The 17,849-nt window shown below is 43.5% G+C and overlaps 1 protein-coding gene across 5 annotated transcripts in view, besides 2 other annotated features; it reads right to left on the bottom strand.

Annotated features, from left to right (window-relative positions):
- The window catches only part of GRK3 (G protein-coupled receptor kinase 3), a 164,620-nt gene that overhangs the window by 16,006 nt on the left and 130,765 nt on the right, over positions 1 to 17,849 (bottom strand). For 4 of the 5 annotated variants that reach the window (NM_005160.4, NM_001362778.2, XM_047441166.1 and 1 more), the window contains 4 exons: positions 9,713 to 9,779; positions 9,080 to 9,180; positions 3,325 to 3,391; positions 2,126 to 2,221 (listed from right to left, as the gene is read on the bottom strand). In NM_005160.4, coding sequence (NP_005151.2) covers positions 2,126 to 2,221; positions 3,325 to 3,391; positions 9,080 to 9,180; positions 9,713 to 9,779 — 331 coding nt within the window. Of the gene's footprint in view, positions 1 to 2,125; positions 2,222 to 3,324; positions 3,392 to 9,079; positions 9,181 to 9,712; positions 9,780 to 10,297; positions 10,448 to 17,849 lie in introns of those variants that run through there. The other variant, XM_047441167.1, reaches the window with a different exon arrangement.
- Positions 8,523 to 9,722: an enhancer, noted in NCBI's record as "BRD4-independent group 4 enhancer chr22:26099534-26100733 (GRCh37/hg19 assembly coordinates)". NCBI's record gives its function as "activates an origin of replication core promoter dependent on BRD2, P300/CBP, MED14 and CDK7 cofactors, and independent of BRD4, by STARR-seq in HCT116 cells {active_cell/tissue: HCT116}" and the evidence as "EXISTENCE:reporter gene assay evidence [ECO:0000049][PMID:35650434]".
- Positions 10,272 to 10,371: an enhancer, noted in NCBI's record as "active region_18788". NCBI's record gives its function as "activates an Ori minimal core promoter by ATAC-STARR-seq in GM12878 lymphoblastoid cells {active_cell/tissue: GM12878}" and the evidence as "EXISTENCE:reporter gene assay evidence [ECO:0000049][PMID:35858748]".

Raw genomic sequence — 17,849 nt, 5'->3', positions numbered from 1 at the left:
GGGACTGGAGGTGCGTGTGTGAGTGTGTGTGTGAGTGATGGGGTGTTGAAAACCTCAAGGTCCGATGAGCACCTGAGATCAGGCACACAGGGACAGGCTCTGAACGGTCTGGCAAAGAGTCAAAGCATGCTCCTTGCCCAGGCAGTTATTCTGAAATGGCCAACTCTGTTTAATAGACACTGTTCTACCGCCTATAATTTCAGAAAGACTTGATCTTTATGACTGAGCCCACCTTGCTGAAAATGAATTTTTTTAAAAAAGAACTTATGTTTACATGAGGTGAGTTTTCCCCCACCCTTTTAAAGAAAATGTATTATTTAGGCTGTTTTTAAAAGACAGTTTCTTAAAATGCAGTCCCCTGCCCTCCCTGCTGGACTCAGCTCTCACGGGAGCAGGACCTGGGCTTCTTGTTTACAGCTGAATCCCTACCAGACAGGACTTCTTGTTCTAAGTGTGCTCTTTCTCAGCTCTTGCTCAGGAAGAACCAAAACATAATAATAGAAGCTACTAGTTTGTCAAGCATTGACTATATGCCTGTAGCCTTCAGCAGGCCACCTCATTTATCCTCAGAGAAAGCTTGGCAATGAAACCACCCACTTTACAGGTGAGAAAGCCAAGACTCGAGAGGTTGCAGAATGGCCCACATTCACTCAGCTCAGTGGCAGATCCCAGCCCAGTCTGTCTGACTCCAAAGCCTAGATCTTGGTTTACAACATTTTTAAGTATGATCATCTCTTTTTAACATTAAAAAATGTTTGTGGGCACCCACGTAATAGTGTTTTATTTTTAGTACTCTGACGGACAGATAGTGGTATACAGCAGGTGAAAAAATTCTATTGTGACAGCAGTAAATTTTTTAAATACCTTTGTAAATGGATTGTTCCCCAAAGCACTGCTGTATACTCATATACCTGACAGGTATCAATGGTTCCGGCTACAGACGATGCCTGGTTGTGCACAGGTCTAGGCATCGGTCTCAATGCTGACCCCAGCCACTGCTCCAGACCACAGAAGGGTGTCCCTCAGTTGGTCAGCAATCCTCACAGCCCTGTGACCTGGGCCCTCTGCACTTTGCCTTCACCTAACCTCCAACACCAGAAAAGCTGGTCCCATGAACACCCCAATCACCATCATGGCCCAGCCCCTCATCTCCTGGGGCCCCTAGCTCTGACCAGCTGCCACTGGGTTCCCCAGGTGCACTTGGCGTGTACATGCTGCTCTCCTTCCCCACAATCCTCCCATCTTCCTCCAGCCATTTACTGGCTTTTCTGTCCCACAGTCTAGCTGGTCCCAGTCCTACGTGTCTCCAGTTATAGCTCCTGCTAGGCCCTTGCATTTTACTTGTCACTCTTTTATTTACACCTCACAGGTGTGTGTTTTAATAGTGCTGCAGCCTTCTGGAGAAGGAAGCTACTTGGTGGGGAAGGCAACGCGGGTTTGTGTCAGAAGGGTGTAAATGGGGGCAGCTGAGAAGAAACAGGGAAGGCCCGGGGGCAGGGGGTAGAGCCTGGGGCAAGCTGCCAGCATGGGGGTAGGTGAGAGCTTGATGTAGTGATACACTTTGACCCAGCATCTTAAACAGAATGATCTTCTCTCATGACTCACCATCTCTAATTATGTCTTGTCTCTACTTGGGGGAATAACGATATGAACAAAAGTTCGAAAAATGCAGAGGATTGTATTAAAAAAAACAGTGATTATTTCACCTTTGATTGACAAATGCAAAATGATTCATGCTGTTTGCTCTTTCATCCTAACACGGGGAGATCTAAAAACTTAGAAGAATTGAGACAGCTGGCTCTTTTGCACTAGGGAAGTATGTTTGATATCACACAGCTGTTTTTCCTGCTTCAGGTATAATTCAAGTTTTATTTCAATCACAAATATTCCAAATCAATAATATTTTACCATGTAGTTCCTCAAAAATAAAATTATTAGTCTGAAGAAAGCTTTCAAAGCCTTTAATTTAGATCCTTAACTTACACATTCTTCAAATATGTTGATACTCATTTGTAAGTTAAATACTATAAACAGCCCAATATTAAAACAACCACTAAGTTTGATTTCCAACAGAAATCATCCCATCCAAAAATAAAAATAAAGAAATAAATGATCACATGTGTACCTTAATCCCTTTGGTATCCTCTTCATCAAATGAGCCAATATCAAAGGCATCAGCAGCATTGACTTCTCCCCGGGGAGGAATCAAGGGTGGTGGGTACTGGAAGATCCAAACAAGCATGGTACAGTTTTCAGATGATCGTATGGCCCTGTCCCAACCTAACATTCTACAAAGACAGCACAGTGCGAGATATCCGCATGCTCCACTGCGCAGCATGTCATTCAAACTTGTAACAAATCACATTTCATATTTTGTAGAAAAGCCACTGCACTCAATAGCCCCAAAGGAAGGCCCTATATTTTAGACAAATTAAAGAAAAATAGGATTCATGTCCAAAGCCTTCAATAATTTTCAAATATAACAAAATCTCAGGACTGCATATCCGTCCAGCTCAGCTTAAGAAAGCACATTCTCTGAGAGGACGCAACACCACCTTTGGGTTGCCGGAGCCACAACAGACAATGGGGCCTGGAGGGAGCAGGGCACATCTGCAAACGCTCCAAGGTATGTGTTAACTGACCCAGAGGTCGGACTCTAATTCAGTAGGACTGACAGATCAGTCTTTCTTTACTACAGAAAATCGTCATTTCTCTGCAGCTTGAGTTCACGCAAAGCAAGTTTAAAGCTGATAATCAACATTTTTCTAAAAATTGAATTTGGGGTGTTTCCTGTATCAACGCAAATATAATGAAGCTTAAAATAAGGAAAGGAAATCATGCTGATATAAAATCATGCTAATTCTTAAATTATGTAGTATTGGGCTAGAAAATATACATACGTTTATGGCAGAAGTTTCACGTACATTTTATAGAGATCTATGTAAAAATACAGTCACATTGAGATAAGAATTCAAGAAGAAGAGCAAAAACTAAAAAAGGCTCAATTATATGTGCATTTGAATTAACTAGATAATAGCTCCATTTTACCTTTTATTAGTTGATATAGGAGATATTTTCAAAATGTTTCTATTAGAGAAATGAAGAGTGAGAGGATGCCCCAAAGGGAACTGGCTACATGGTAACTCTCGGGTAACAAGAGAGTGTGGACACAGGATGCTGGGGGAGGTGGGTGGTGGGGATGCTGGGGAGACACAGCCAGGAAGCCAGCAGTGCATAGAGAGACAGAGACAGAAACTGAGACAGAGATGAGCGGGTAAGGGCGGGGCGGCAGTACCGTAAGTAGAGTCAAGAGGGAGTGAGTACCTTTTGTAAGTAGACATGCTGCCAGTCAACACCTTTGAAAAAGCTGTGCTCTTTTACTTCCTGTGAGCTGGAGGAGAAAGAGTCATAACAGTGCTGAGTATGCATTTGGAAACGTAATAAATATTGTGCAAAACTGTCTCCTGTTAACAATACAGGGGAGCAAGTATTTCCACTTTTTCCTTTAAGAAAGCAAACAAATATGCTTCCTTCAAAACAACAGGAGGAATGCTACGATGTTTAGAATACTGCATGCAGCGCCTGGGAATATTATCCCATATGATCATTTATTTGGGATAGTTATTACAGTTTAAGATAACCTAGAAATTTTCACAGATATATATATACACACGCACACACACACACACACAATAATTCTATAGTCAGGAGAACATAACTGAAAATAAGAATTAAATTGGATATCTACACATTAAAGAAATTTACAGCAAATATTTACACATCGCAATAGATAATGTAATAGGAAAATGACAGGAATGTGAAGCACCACATTTACTCAGAAGCAAACAAGAGATCTAATAATATAATGTATACCAAAACCCTTTATAAATTGAAGAAACCCATCCTGGCTAACACGGTGAAATCCCATCTCTACTAAAAATACAAAAAAATTAGCCGGGTGTGGTGGCTCACGCCTGTAATCCCAGCACTTTGGGAGGCTGAGGCGGGCAGATCACGAGGTCAGGAGATCAAGACCATCCTGGCTAACACGGTGAAACCCCTTCTCTACCGAAAATACAAAAAATTAGCCGGGCATGGTGACGGGCGCCTGTAATCCCAGCTACTCGGAAGGCTGAAGCAGGAGAACGGCGTGAACCCGGGAGGTGGAGCTTGCAGTGAACCGAGATTGCGCCACTGGACTCCAGCCTGGGCGACAGAGCGAGACTCCATCTCAAAAAAAAAATAAAAATAAAAATAAAAAATAAATTGAAGAAACAAGTTTTCTTGAAGGTCATGATTAAAACTTGGAGTACCCAGAGCAAAAGTTGGTCAGGCATGGTGGCTCATACCTGTAATCTTAGCACTTTGGGAGGCCAAGGTGGGTGGATTGTCTGAGTTCAGGAGATCGAGACCAGTCTGGGCAACACAATGAAACCCTGTCTCGACTAAAATACAAAAAATTAGCTGGGCATGGTGGCAGGCGCCTGTAGTCTCAGCTACTCGGGAGGCTGAGGCAGGAGATTTGCTTGAACCCGGGAGGTGGAGGTTGCAGTGAGCCGAGATTGTGCCATTGCACTCCAGCCTGAGTGACAGAGTGAGAATCTGTTGCCAGGAAAAAAAAAAAAAAAATTGCACACTCCAAGGAAAAGCCCGCATGGGGGAGGAGCACTCCCAGCACATGCCACTGACTTTCTATCTCTCCACATCCTGTCACACAGCTCAGGGCTGCTTCTTGGGGTCCTCCTGTAGTCAGTCCCTGGGGCATCTCGCCCAGCCCAGAGCTTGAGTGCCCTTATAGGACTCCTAAATCTGTAGCCCAAGCACCAACCTGTGCCCTGTGTTCCAGGACACTCCTACTCCCCAGCCCACTCAGAGGATGCAGGCAGGGCTAACACAGCCCTCTCCGCACTGCTCCTGCACAGGCCCAGCCAGGATGGTCCTGGATGCCTGTCTTCCCTCAGGCTTCACAGCCACCCCTTGGCCAGACCCAGACCTGACTACTTCCTACCACCTCCCATCCTCACGAGACTCTCGCTTAGGGGTGGTGTTTCTTTTTTTTTGTCACCCAGGCTGGAGTGCAGTGGCGCCATCTCGGCTCACTGCAACCTCCGCCTCCTGGGTTCAAGCGATTCTCCTGCCTCAGCCTCTGAGTAGCTGGGAATACAGGTGCGTGCCACCACACCCGGCTAATTATTATTATTATTATTGTATATTTAGTAGAGATGGGGTTTCACCATGTTGGTCAGGCTGGTCGCAAACTCCTGACCTTGTGATCCACCCACCTCGGCCTCCCAAAGTACTGGGATTACAGGCGTGAGCCACTGCGCCTGGCCGGGGTGGTGATTCCTGCTCAGGATGCTACTGGCATTTGTGGGCAGGGAAGGGATGATAGACGTACTGCCAGAAACACCGAGGCACCAGGGTCCTGGTACCTCTTGCCTGAACTACTCTAATGTCTCCTCCTCTGACCTCTAGTCCTGCCCACCTGCAGCCCCATCCCACTTCATACAGCGCCCAAGTCATCTTCTTCAATGAACTCACCACTCCTCTGCTCAAAACTCTCCAGTCTTGCTTCGCATTTATAACCAAACCCAGTGCCCAGGAGACCTGGCTTTGCTGGATCACGGGAGCACTGATTCTACCTGGAAGTCCTCCCTCGCTGACTCCTCCAGCTGGAGTGTTCCTCCCCAGGCCTCTTCATAAGGTGGCACCTCGTCCTCCACACAGGTACTTCTCACTATCTGGACCTGTCTTACTTGATAATTCTACACCATGGCTTTCCCATAGCATGAGCTTCAGGAAGGCAGGGGCCATGCCTACCATGTGCACTGCCTCAGCCACTTCACGGGGTAGCATCAGTGTGTGCCCAGTAAACAGACATTGAATGAAAGAATGGGATCCAAGTCAGAGCATATCCTTGTGCATTTTTACTGGAAACACTTCGGTGATTTTCTTATTGGGTTCCATTTTGTACCCATCATTGTCAACACATTAAATGTGATAAGCTAAATAAGAAGTTTACTTGCATATATCCAAGCAATTAGAAATGCCCCAGAAAAAAGGTTTCTTGTTCAAGCCAGTGATTGCATGAAAGCATGCAACTTCACACAGTCTCAATAACCACTAAAATGGCAGGAAAGGAACACAGAGATATAAACCCACCACAGGAGACAGGCATGGTAGCCCATGCCTGTAATCCTAGGTCTTTGGGGGCTAAGAGGAGAAGATCACTTGAGGCCAGGAGTTCAAGACCTGTCTGGGCAGCATAGCAAGACCCCTTCTCTATAAAAAAAAAAAAAGTTAGCCAGGCATGGTAATGTGGGCCTGTGGTCTCAGCTACTTGGGAGGCTGGGGCCAAAGAATTACTTGGGCCGGGAGTTTGGAGCTGGAGTGAGCTATGATCATGCCATTGCACTCCAGTCTGGGTGACAGAGTGAGATACTATCACTTTTAAAAAACAAAAATAGGCCAGACATGGTGGCTCACGCCTGTAATCCCAGCACTTTGGGAGGCCAAGGCACATAGATCACTTGAGATCAGGAGTTCGAGACCAGCCTGGCCAACATGGGGAAACCCCATCTCTACTAAACATTAGCTGGGCGTGGTGGTGCACACCTGTAGCCCCAGCTACTCGGGAAGCTGAGGCAGGAGAATCACTTGAACCTGGGAGACAGAGTTTGCAGTGAGCCAAGATTGTGCCACTGCACTCCAACCTGGGTAACAGAGCGAGACTCAATCTCAAAAAAATAAAAAATAAAAAGTAAAAATAAATATTAAAAAAATAAATCCACCACGAGAGAGAGAGGGCCATCAGCAGACAAGAGGGGGTGCTGACACAGGGGCAGTGACTGACAGCAAAGCAGGGCAGAGCTACTGCCCTGGGGACGGAGCCAGCATGCTGAGCTCCAGCTCACCACAGTGTGTGTGGCTGGGGGATGAGACACAGGCCTGGGCATTGAGCTGCACACTTGCACACAAATGCACACCCATACCCGCCGTACTTCTTCCCTGACACCCAACTCCAGAACACCTGCAGCAAGGTGTTTAACATGGGGTAAAACCCCTGAAAGGTTCTACTTTTAAGAAATTAAACCTGCTAAAGATTTTTAGAAAGAAATCAACGAAAGGGTTGAAAATTTGTGCTATCGGCAAGTAAAACAAAGAATTAAAGCAAAGATGCAGGTAATATACAAGATCAGAAGTGCAGAGGCCCAAATCTAGAAAGGAATCCCAGCATCCAGCTAATAAGAGTTCTATGAGAAACAGAGGAGGATAAATGTCAAATAAATAAAGGGTGGTCTCCAAGCTGAAGAACACGAGTCTCCGAGCACAAGGGATGCTACCTGTCTGCCATCGCGAGTGGTAACCTAGCTCCATGACCTGCATTGACTGCTTGCTTGTACACAATAAAGTAAGAGTTTCAAAGCTCTGGGGGAAAATTATTACTTCCTTAGAATTCTATATCTAGCCTAAATATAGCAGGAGGCAGGGAATCAAGTGAATGGCAGATTCAGTCCAGAAGACTGGAAAGGGAAGTGTTGGGTGAGATGATGCCAATCAGCAGAAATAGAGCACCTCTTTTTCATTGCAGCTGCAGGCTGAGTCCTTCCCGAAAGAAACATCATGGAAAAACAAAGTCCACAACTATCATATTCTTTTTTGAGAGAGAGAGAGAGAGATCATACTATATATGTATATATATGACTAACTTAAGGTTTATTACCAGGCTAAGTAAAAGCCTTGTAATGAACAACATTTTTGATTCCTTAACAGTGTAAATACCCCTTCTTCATTTGCAACTTTTGAAATTAACCTATATGCAAAGCACAAAGATTGATTATGATTGATTATGATCACAGAATAGAAAGCAGTATCATCTTGATAATGTAAAAATAAAAATTAACATGAAAGAACATGAGACAGAAGTCAATGAAAGATAGGAATGTCAAAATCCTCAACTCAGATACTGTTTATAGTTGGAAAAAGGCAAGACCGGGTTAAGCATGGAATTTAAAGCTACAGAGGAAAGCAAAAGAGGAGCTCAAAATAGCGTTTCAACTTTTGAGAGGTGGAGGAAGGGAAGGCTACAGAGACAGTAATGAGTGAGCTAAATCTTCATCTATTATAGCAGGAATAGGTAATTTTGCAAATTGATAAGGACATACTCATATATATGTACATTATTTAGCTATCTACATAAAATGCTTATATGTATAATATGCACACTAAAAATACATACACATATGTATGATATACATATAGGTAATATACAGTTAAAAGTTATTTCTTATGCCAAGCAAGCCTGGGGGAGAAGAGATACAGGAAAAAGGTCTGTCTGAAGTCCCTCTCTATAAGCTTTCCAGATATTACTGTTCAGAGTGTTTTGGGGCAGGAGAATAGTGAGCATGTGTTAGATCGCAGTTACTCAGTTATGCATGAGAGAAATATGTGAGAAACTGATCAGAATGTTAAACTGCCACAATCACAAATACAACCATCACTAAAAAACAAATGGACTACAAAATATCAGAATTCACTTCTGTCATCTACAAGGTCAATCTTTAAAAGTTAAAAAGTGGGCTGGCCGCAGTGGCTCACGCCTATAATCCCAGCACTTTGAGAGGCCAAGGCAGGTGGATCACCTGAGGTCAGGAGTTTGAGACCAGCCTGGCCAACATAGGAAAACCCCGTCTCTACTAAAAATGCAAAAATTAGCCAGGCGTGGTAGCACACCCCAGTGGTCCTAGCTACTCAGGAGGCTGAGGCAGGAGAATTGCTTGAACCCTAGGAGGTGGAGGTTGCAGTGAGCTGAGATCACGCCACTGCACTACAGCCTGGGTGACAGGGCAAGACTCCATCTCAAAAATAAATAAAGTAAAAAAGTGAGTGACTTCTTCAACTTCTTAATTATAAAACACATAGGACAATATTTGTATATTTCCCATGTGATTTATTTTTTTCCCCTTTCAAGTCAAAATGGAAGATTTTAATGACTAGGGATGACTTTTGATAGACAGTATTTAAAATCACTATTTTGCTCTTCTGGTAAAGATACCGAAAGGCAGGAACAATGGCCTACCCGCCTCCGTGACAGCCCAGCCGCTTGCTAACGTCTCGCTGAAGCAAGCCCTCCAAAAGGGACTTCAGTTCAGGAGAGAAGGTGTCTGGAAGTTCCACATTCTGGGGAAAAGACGAGTAAGATTTCAAAAATCCGTTCATGAAACAGCATCCTAACACTCAACCAGACTTAAAGACTATTACTGGGATAAGCATAGTATTAAAAATTGCAGCCTCATTATGAATTAATATTTACTCTATAGAAACATGAAAAGATAACTAATCAGTTGCAAAATCAATGAGGCTGGGGGCAGATCAGAAGAACCGGAAGGCATTCTCATTCGTTGGCATCTCAGTAATTTCTCCTTTTCTTTGATTTCTTTACTTCTGTTCTCGATTTTCTTTAGCTTCCTCATACTGTTCGTTAGTAAATCCTGATTTTTGCCTTGGCATCTATTTCCATTAATGTTTCCCCTAGAAATTCTTTTAGAAATTGTATCTGCATTTATTTGTTTCAAGAAAGCAAATTTTTATTATGTCTATACATAATTTTATATTTCCTATAACATTTTATGTAATAGCATTTTTTTATTATTGACGGAATGAAGCATGACAATTACCATACAGACAAGAATACAGTTTTGAATCCCCTTACCACGGTGAGTGTCATTCGGTCAATTTCATGCTTGTCTTTGGTTTTATGTTGTCTGAAAGGGCTGTGACTGTAGAAATAAAGAATTGTTCTATCAAAATATGGCATCAGGTGATATAGAACATATCACTGACTAATATTTGGGTAAAGTATGATGTCCTATCACTATTCATTCAAAACTGGAGAAATGCAAAAGCCGTAAACATTTATCATTTCCATGGAAGAACTGGTGAATAAATGCTAGGTCCTGAAATAGCAAGACTTGTATCTTACTTGAACTGCCTGAATCTCACTTCAGTGAACTTGTGGCCCTAAAATACGCTGTTCCAATGGAAACATCATTAGAAAAGAATATATAACTAGCCAACAGGTAATCATGAGAATAAAAGTCATTTATATAACATTTGTCATATGAGAGTTCGAGCTAAACAATAACTTTCATGTACATTTTTCAGAAAAATGGATATTGGTCCCTCAAACAGCCCAAGGAACAGCAGTTGAACCAAAACATGAAGGAGATGAAATGATTCACCCCTAGAAACCAGTCATTTTAAGTAATACATCCCTTTGATGAAAACAGAAACTAACCGTGCACCAGCAGATTCTCCACAGCTCTGAGCGCTTCCTGTTTTCCCTGTGCAGAACCCGACTCCAGAGTCAGAAAAGCTGGGTTCAAGTTGTGACTTGTTGGTTTAGTGACTGTCAGCCACATAGAAACCTTCAGTATCAATTCTTCATCTGTAAAGCGGGGATCAAGCCGCATACTTCACAGAAGCAGTGAAGGGAAAAACTAAAGTGACATCTATGCAAGTAGCCAAGACAATGGCAGTACACGGTAGGTACCTAATACAGTAACCACTGGTGAAATTAATAAAGATAACTCTTACTTTATGAAATGAATGTCTACTTGGTGAACTATGTAAAACAGATTATTCTCACTCTCATGTTTTAAAAACTTTGGAGAAGCTGGCTTTCAAAGGAAATCTTATCATTAAAAGACACTATTAAATATGCAAACTAAATTACCATGGTTTATTTTTCATTTTGAAAATTAAAGGGACACATATGATTGACTTTTCTTATAACAAGATGTGCCTACAAAGTAGTCATCTTATAAATTTATTTATAAGGCATATATGACATAATCTGAGGCAGGCAGGATATTATGCAAAATATTTTAATATTAACTCCATAAAATGGATTAGAATGTTGAACACATAAATCAGAGATTCTAAAAAAGAATTAAAATGCCACTTATCTTGCACTGCTACTTACTGCTACTGAGCTGGTCATCCTACTGAATTAATTAGGTTATACATTGAACTATCTTTTGAGATTATTACATTTCAGGCCATTTATTGTCTGAAACACTTTAATTTTCTTTTTGTACAAGAGAGGGCACTCTAGTCCTTTATTTCCTTCCATATCATGCAGTGAAACACAAACTAATTGCCATCTCTTAAAAGCATTAATTTGGGAAAAAAAAAAAAGATCAAAACAAGGTAAATTAGCACCCAGCAAGCATTTGTTAACTTTTAAAACAGATTTTGATTGGAAATATTCTTTTTGCCTTATTTCCAAGGAAAAAATGTACAATTACCACATTTAAAAAGCAGATATAAAAGCAAACAATATCTGTTATTTATAATTTTTAAAAACATACTTGTATCATTCTTTTATACAAAATGCACAGAAATATTAACATGTTTGAGGTTGCAGAGAAAAGGAATGAAAGTTTATCAAATCTTATGAAAACCTTAGTCTCCCTGCTTGACACTTAGCTGTTTCCACCCGACGATGTTCCTTAATGTATAAAAAGGGATTAAGTGAAGATCTCCTGGTGTTTTGACAAATCCCTCGGACCTGGCTCCTGCGTGCAAAGCCAGAGGACCCCACTCCTGCATCTGGTCCCGATGTACTTGCAGCCTGCTGTGTTCTGACACAAGCGCTCTGTGCTAAATTTAAAAAGTCTTTCATGAGACCACAGGGAGGCTTGCGAGGGGACTTGGAGTTAAAGTTAGTGGTGCCAAAACCATTTCCAGCACATGGGCCCCATTGCTACAAATTCCATTTATAAATATAGCGATTCCATGTCCGGCTCAATGAGAAATTATCAGAAAATGCTCTTCAGCTATTCAAGTCTATGCTGCCATGTTCAGACAGTTTGGTCTTTCAAGTTGAAATCTTGATGCACATCTGTTTCCAATATATTCTTGATTATTCTTTGTGAACAAAGCCAAAGACTTGGTTTCTATTTTGAAAAACGTTAAAGAAAACCTATGATAGTAATAATCTCCATTCTGAGTGAGGCACGTGGTGTGCACAGATCCTGTGTGATCGCAGCTGCTCCCTGATGCAGCCGCTTTAAATAGGAGACAGTAACAGGCCTGTCAACAGCTTACAAGGCACGGCCAAGCTCTTCCCATGCAACATGCTGGCTGCATCAGGGAGCGTTGTGGGAAAAGAATTCACATGTCCTGTGGTCAAGTGCAGCTTTCTGAACTACAGATAGAATGGAACAGCTGCACGTTTCCCCTAAATGAGTTGGAAAATTGTTCAGGACATTATAAATGATGGGAAAACACACATCCTGCCCAAGTTAGCTCTACATCATTTTCATGGGCAAACAATGGGTTCAAAAAATTATGTGATTAAAAACTCTCACATCAAAAGTTAATTTCAAAATACCCAAAAGAGGCCGGGCGCGGTGGGTCACGCCTGTAATCCCACACTTTGGGAGGCCGAGGCAGGTGGATCACAAGGTCAGGAGATCAAGACCATCCCGGCTAACAAGGTGAAACCCGTCTCTACTAAAAATACAAAAATTAGCCGGGAGTGGTGGCGGGAGCCTGTAGTCCCAGCTACTCGGGAGGCTGAGGCAGGAGAATGGTGTGAACCTGTGAGGCAGAGCTTGCAGTGAGCCAAGATCACACTACTGCACTCCAGCCTGGGCAATAGAGCGAGACGCCGTCTCAAATAAAATAAAATAAAATACCCAAAAGATGGCATGTTATATTAAATGTGCATTTCAAACCTAAGCCAGTAGTTGCCAAAATATTTATAAACTTTCCTTTTTCCCCTCCTGGAACAAACTCAATAGCGCCAGCAGCACTCAGTTCTCCCTAGGCCACTGCCCAGGCTCTCCCTCATGTCTGACAACTCCACGGGGAGACAATCAACGGTGACAAGCTTAAGATCGAGGCCACTGTCACATCAATTGATTTCCTTAACAGACATCTTAAATCTAGGTGAAGATCATGATGGCAGCTCCACAGATTTGCAACATGGATGCATCTTCCTACACAGACGCTCTTAAGTATCTGACAAAGTCATCTGAAATAGAAGTAGTGACCAGCACTCAAAGATAGCACATATGAGCGGCTCAGTCAATCACTGTGAGTCCAGGGATGCAAAACACCTTCTGAAGCCTTGACATCTTTCTCCCATCCAGACTCCTTCTCCAAGTGCCTTGCAGTATTCTTGTAGGGGATAAAGACAAAATGAAGTGTGCAGAAAGGTGTTTCAGCAGAAGCAAGGGGGCACGCTGGTCACAGCAAGGAGGATTAAAACAGAAAACAGAGCGGCCGGGCGCGGGGGCTCACGCCTGTAATCCCAGCACTTTGGGAGGCCGAGGCGGGCAGATCACGGGATCAGGAGATCGGGACCATCCTGGCTAACACAGTGATGCCCCGTCTCTACTAAAAATACAAAAAATTAGCTGGGCGTGGTGGCGGGCGCCTGTAGTCCCAGCTACTTGGAAGGCTGAGGCAGGAGAATGGCGTGAATCCGTGAGGCAGAGGTTGCAGTGAGCCGAGATTGCACCACTGCACTCCAGCCTGGGCGACAGAGCGAGACTTCGTCTCAAAAAAAAAAAAAAAAAGAAAAGAAAAGAAAAGAAAAGAAAATAGAAAGACCCTTCCTTGGTGGCCATTGATTCCACCTCACTGCACAGCTGTGGGAGGAGGGAGGGGCATTTGCTCTGGGGCAGTGGTCCTCACCCTCGGCACTGTTGACATTTAGGGCTAAAGGATTCTTTGTTGGGGTGTTGCGGGAGCTGTCCTGTGCCTCATAGGATGTTGAGCAGCATCCTTGGCCTCTACTTAGGGGATGCCAGTAGCAGCCACTTCCCAAGTTATGATGACCAAGAATGCCTCCAGCCATTGCCCAGTGTCCCCCAGGGTTGAGGACAGGCGCCCCAGGAGTGTCAGGATGCAGAGGGGACTGTGCCCAAGCCTGTGCCTCAGAGACCCTGCCTAGTCAATCTCCTCCTCCACTCAGTTGATTTCTTAGGCCCCGTGTGCCTGAGAAAAGACAGCTGCCAGGGGCTCCCTTCTATACAACACAGGAAAAATGCACAGGAGGCTGACAGGCATATTTTTGAGGTTCTCCCACATGCAACTTTGTGAGGAAGTAGAACAGGTGGCATTATCCCCTTGTTCACAGCTGAGGCAGTGAGGGCTCCTGCACACAGTCCCACCTCCTGCCCGCCTCGCCACAGGGTTTTGCTCCTGAAAGGCCCTCCGTACACTTCAGTTTCATGTGAACCACTGAAATTTTACAGACGCTGATTTTAGTAATGACATCGTTATTCTCCCAATCATCTTGAATCTAAATTGCAGCATGTTTAACTTCTATCCTTCCATATCCAACCATCTATAAAAAAACAAAAACAAAACACACTCCACGAAAACACTGAAGCGTTACAGAAGCTAACTCTGCAATGCCGCCATGTCATTTGCTCCTGTCAGGTTCCAGGGCTGCTGCGCAAACTCACTGCCTTTTGCTCACATTCTTCTGCCTGCCTCCTGTCTCGGTTCCTCCATTGCTCCAGGCTGCTTCCAGAATCATCTTACTGAAAAGCCACCCAACCCTGCCACTGCTCCGCTGAAAAGCTTTCAGCCTCGGGGCCTGGAGGATAAAGGTCAAACTTCCCAGCACTGCATCCGAGGTCCTCCCAGTGCTGACCCAACCATCTGAGACTTCTCCCTCAGCACTCCTTCCCTCTTAAGAAACATAGAAAGCTGGTATTTCCCCTGCTCCCAGGCTTTGTATTGTCATCCTACCTATCTTCAAAGCCTACCCGACAGACCATCTCCCACATGATGTCAACCCTACACTTCCAGGTTAGAATTGGTTCTGCCATGTCTGTGCTCGCAGCACATCGCTACTGTCAAAGTTAGCACAGCTCAGCCAGCTCCTGATCCGGTGTGTATATCAATAGCTACTCTCCTAGACTGCCTATCCCTCAAAGATTTTGTGTGGCTCCCTTCCTGGCTGGCTGGTTGGCTTCCTTCCTTCCTTCCTTCTTTCTCTCCCTTCCTTCCTTCCCTTTTCTCCCTTTCTTCCCTCTTCTTCCTTCCTCCTTCCTTCCCTCCCTTCCTCCTTCCCTTTCTTTCTCCCTCCCTCTCTTCCTCTCTCCCTTCTTCCTTCCTTCCTTCCTCCCTCTCCTTCCTCCTTTCTTCCTTCCCTCCTCCCTCCCTCTCCTTCCTCCCTTCCTCCCTCCCTCTCCTTTTTTCCTTCCTTACTCCTTTCCTTCCCCCACAGCATCAAGCAGTCTCTTGTACATTGCAGGTACGCAGTAAATGCTTATCACATTTAATTTAAATCACTTAAGTCAAAAATGTTTCCTGCTCTTTGGCTCCAGTGCTATATCCTATCTGTGAGTGACTTCTGAACAAACAATAGAAGGAATGGCATGAGATAATAAATCCTAGTGGGGGAGATTCATCTAATCCTATCTATCAAGCACTGGAAAGATTCCTTCCATTTCAGGCTCAATCGATGGTCACCAGACAGTGACAAGGAGCCTGCTATCCATGAGGCAGAACCCTCCTTCACTGGGTAGCTCAAATGACTGGACATTCTTGTATTAAACTGAAATCTTTTTTCTCCTCAAAATGCATCCCTCTGGAGTTACACAGCATGCATATGATCCCTTCAACAAGACGGCCTTCCAGCAGCTGGAGCCAACCATGCGCTCCCCTAAGTTCTGCACTCAGCTCTTTCAGTCTTCCCACGGAGGCCATCATTTCTAGCTATTTCACCACTCTCCACTTATCTCATCCATCCCTCCCAGCCTCACGGCCATCCTCAGGATGTCTTCCTGTCTGTCAAGACTCTTTTCGGCAGGAGCCCCACTGAACATAATGCTTCCATCAAGGCCAATCAAGGACTTCACAAAGGAATTAATATCTTCCAGTTCAGTATGCCAAAGCTGAATTACAGCCAAATAAGACTGAATTCATTTTATTAGCCACAAACCACACTGTTGGAGCAGACAGAGTTATTGAACAAAACCCTCTAGTCTTTTAAAAAATGAAGCAGTGTTACAGCAAATCCTCCCCAGCCTATATGCATGGCCATTTTAACAGCTAGAGTAACAAAACAAAGAAGTACACAAAGCCCTAAATACAAGGCTTCTGGGATTGTCAGATTTTACTGCTGATTTTTACATTCAACAGTTCAGCTGTTGCACAGTTTTCTTTTTATCATCTCCAAATTCTGTAGGTAGGGACTGTCTGTCTCCAACCACATCTCCAGCAGAGATCCAAAATAAAGATCTCCTGGGTGTCTTCATGCACTCCATATGCATAGAAGCGACTCCACTGGGGAGAACAGCATCTCATAGGGGAAATGGCTTTCTCTGGTTTGCTTAGATAAACTCTCTAATTAGGTCAGCTAGTCTGATGACATGAATTAAAGCCATCCAGGCTCCACAAATACAATAATTCAATTAAGGAATAACAGAACCCGACTTTCTAAGCAATAATACAATTTTAGATCACAAGTGAATGCAAAGTAGAGAGCAACTGGATTATCAGAGTCCTGACGAAACAGAGGGTGCTCAGAACCTAGTTTTGGGGGAATGTAGAATTCAGCCTCTCTCCAGAATGTGCTAAATGTAGTAAGATGCAGTGGTGCTCAGTTAGGCTCTCCGATGGAAAGGTGCAACATTTAGCAAACTATCGGGACTGTGTTCATATGAAAATATTAAAAGGAAAATCTTAACTAGGAAATTTTAATGTAAAATGATTTATGAGTCTGAATAATAAAAAAATTTAACTGAAGTTTTCCATTAAAATTGGCTAAAAGTCTTAGAATTAATGGCAACATTAACATAATTGTTAAGTGTTTAATATGAGAACATATTTTGAGAGTACTTTCCTCTCATAATCTTTTCTACTCTATTTCATCATCTTTGGTAGTTCAGAACAAGGGCCAAGTATACTACTAGCTTTAAAAGACAAATTAATTTCAGCATTTTCCCCAACAAACGCAAGCTTTTTAAAATGGGTTTACCGGCTAGGTGTGGTGGCTTAGGCGTTTAATCCCAGCACTTTGGGAGGCTGAGGTGGGAGGATGGCTTGAGGCCAGGAGTTCGAGACCAGCCTGGGCAACATGGCAAGACCTCACCTCTAAAAACATTAAAAAATTAGCTGGGTGTAGGCCGGACGCGGTGGCTCATACCTGTAATCCCAGCACTTTGGGAGGCCAAGGCAGGCGGATCACCCAGTCAGGAGATCGAGACCATCCTGGCTAACATCATGAAACCCCGTCTCTACTGAAAAAATACAAAAAATTAGCCTGGCGTGGTGGCAGGCGCCTGTAGTCCCAGCTACGCAGGAGGCTGAGGCAGGAGAATGGCGTGAACCCGGGAGGCGGAGCTTGCAGTGAGCAGAGATGTGCCACTGCACTCCAGCCTGGGAGACAGAGCGAGACGTCTCAAAAAAAAAAAAAAAAAAAATTAGCCGGGTGTGATGGTGTGTGCCTGTAGTCCCAGCTACTCAGGAGACTGAGGTTGAGGTGGAAGGATTGCTTGAGCCCAGGAGGTCGAGGCTACAGTGAGCCTGTGTGTGTGATGTCTGTGTGACTACACTGCAGCCAGGCAACAGAGAGAGAACTTGTCTAAAAACAAAACAAAATAAAATAAAATAGGTTTACTTTGGGTTTTCATCCTTTTTTTGTAACTCTCAAAATCTGTAAACCCTCAAGATGATGAATAATTAATTTCTAGGGAAAAAATCATTCTACCTTTTTAAATTACCTACATTTCAAAACAATACTTATTCCTACAATGTGGCTTATCAAAGAAAAAAATTCGAAGCAGTCTAATTTTAGGTTTAAAAGAATTCTGATTCCT

The sequence above is a fragment of the Homo sapiens genome, chromosome 22 (assembly GCF_000001405.40).
Source record: "Homo sapiens chromosome 22, GRCh38.p14 Primary Assembly".
In the NCBI taxonomy this organism is placed as follows: Eukaryota; Metazoa; Chordata; class Mammalia; order Primates; family Hominidae; genus Homo; species Homo sapiens.
The sequence above is the reverse complement of the archived record's forward strand: the minus strand, read 5'-3'. Positions and strand labels throughout refer to the sequence as shown.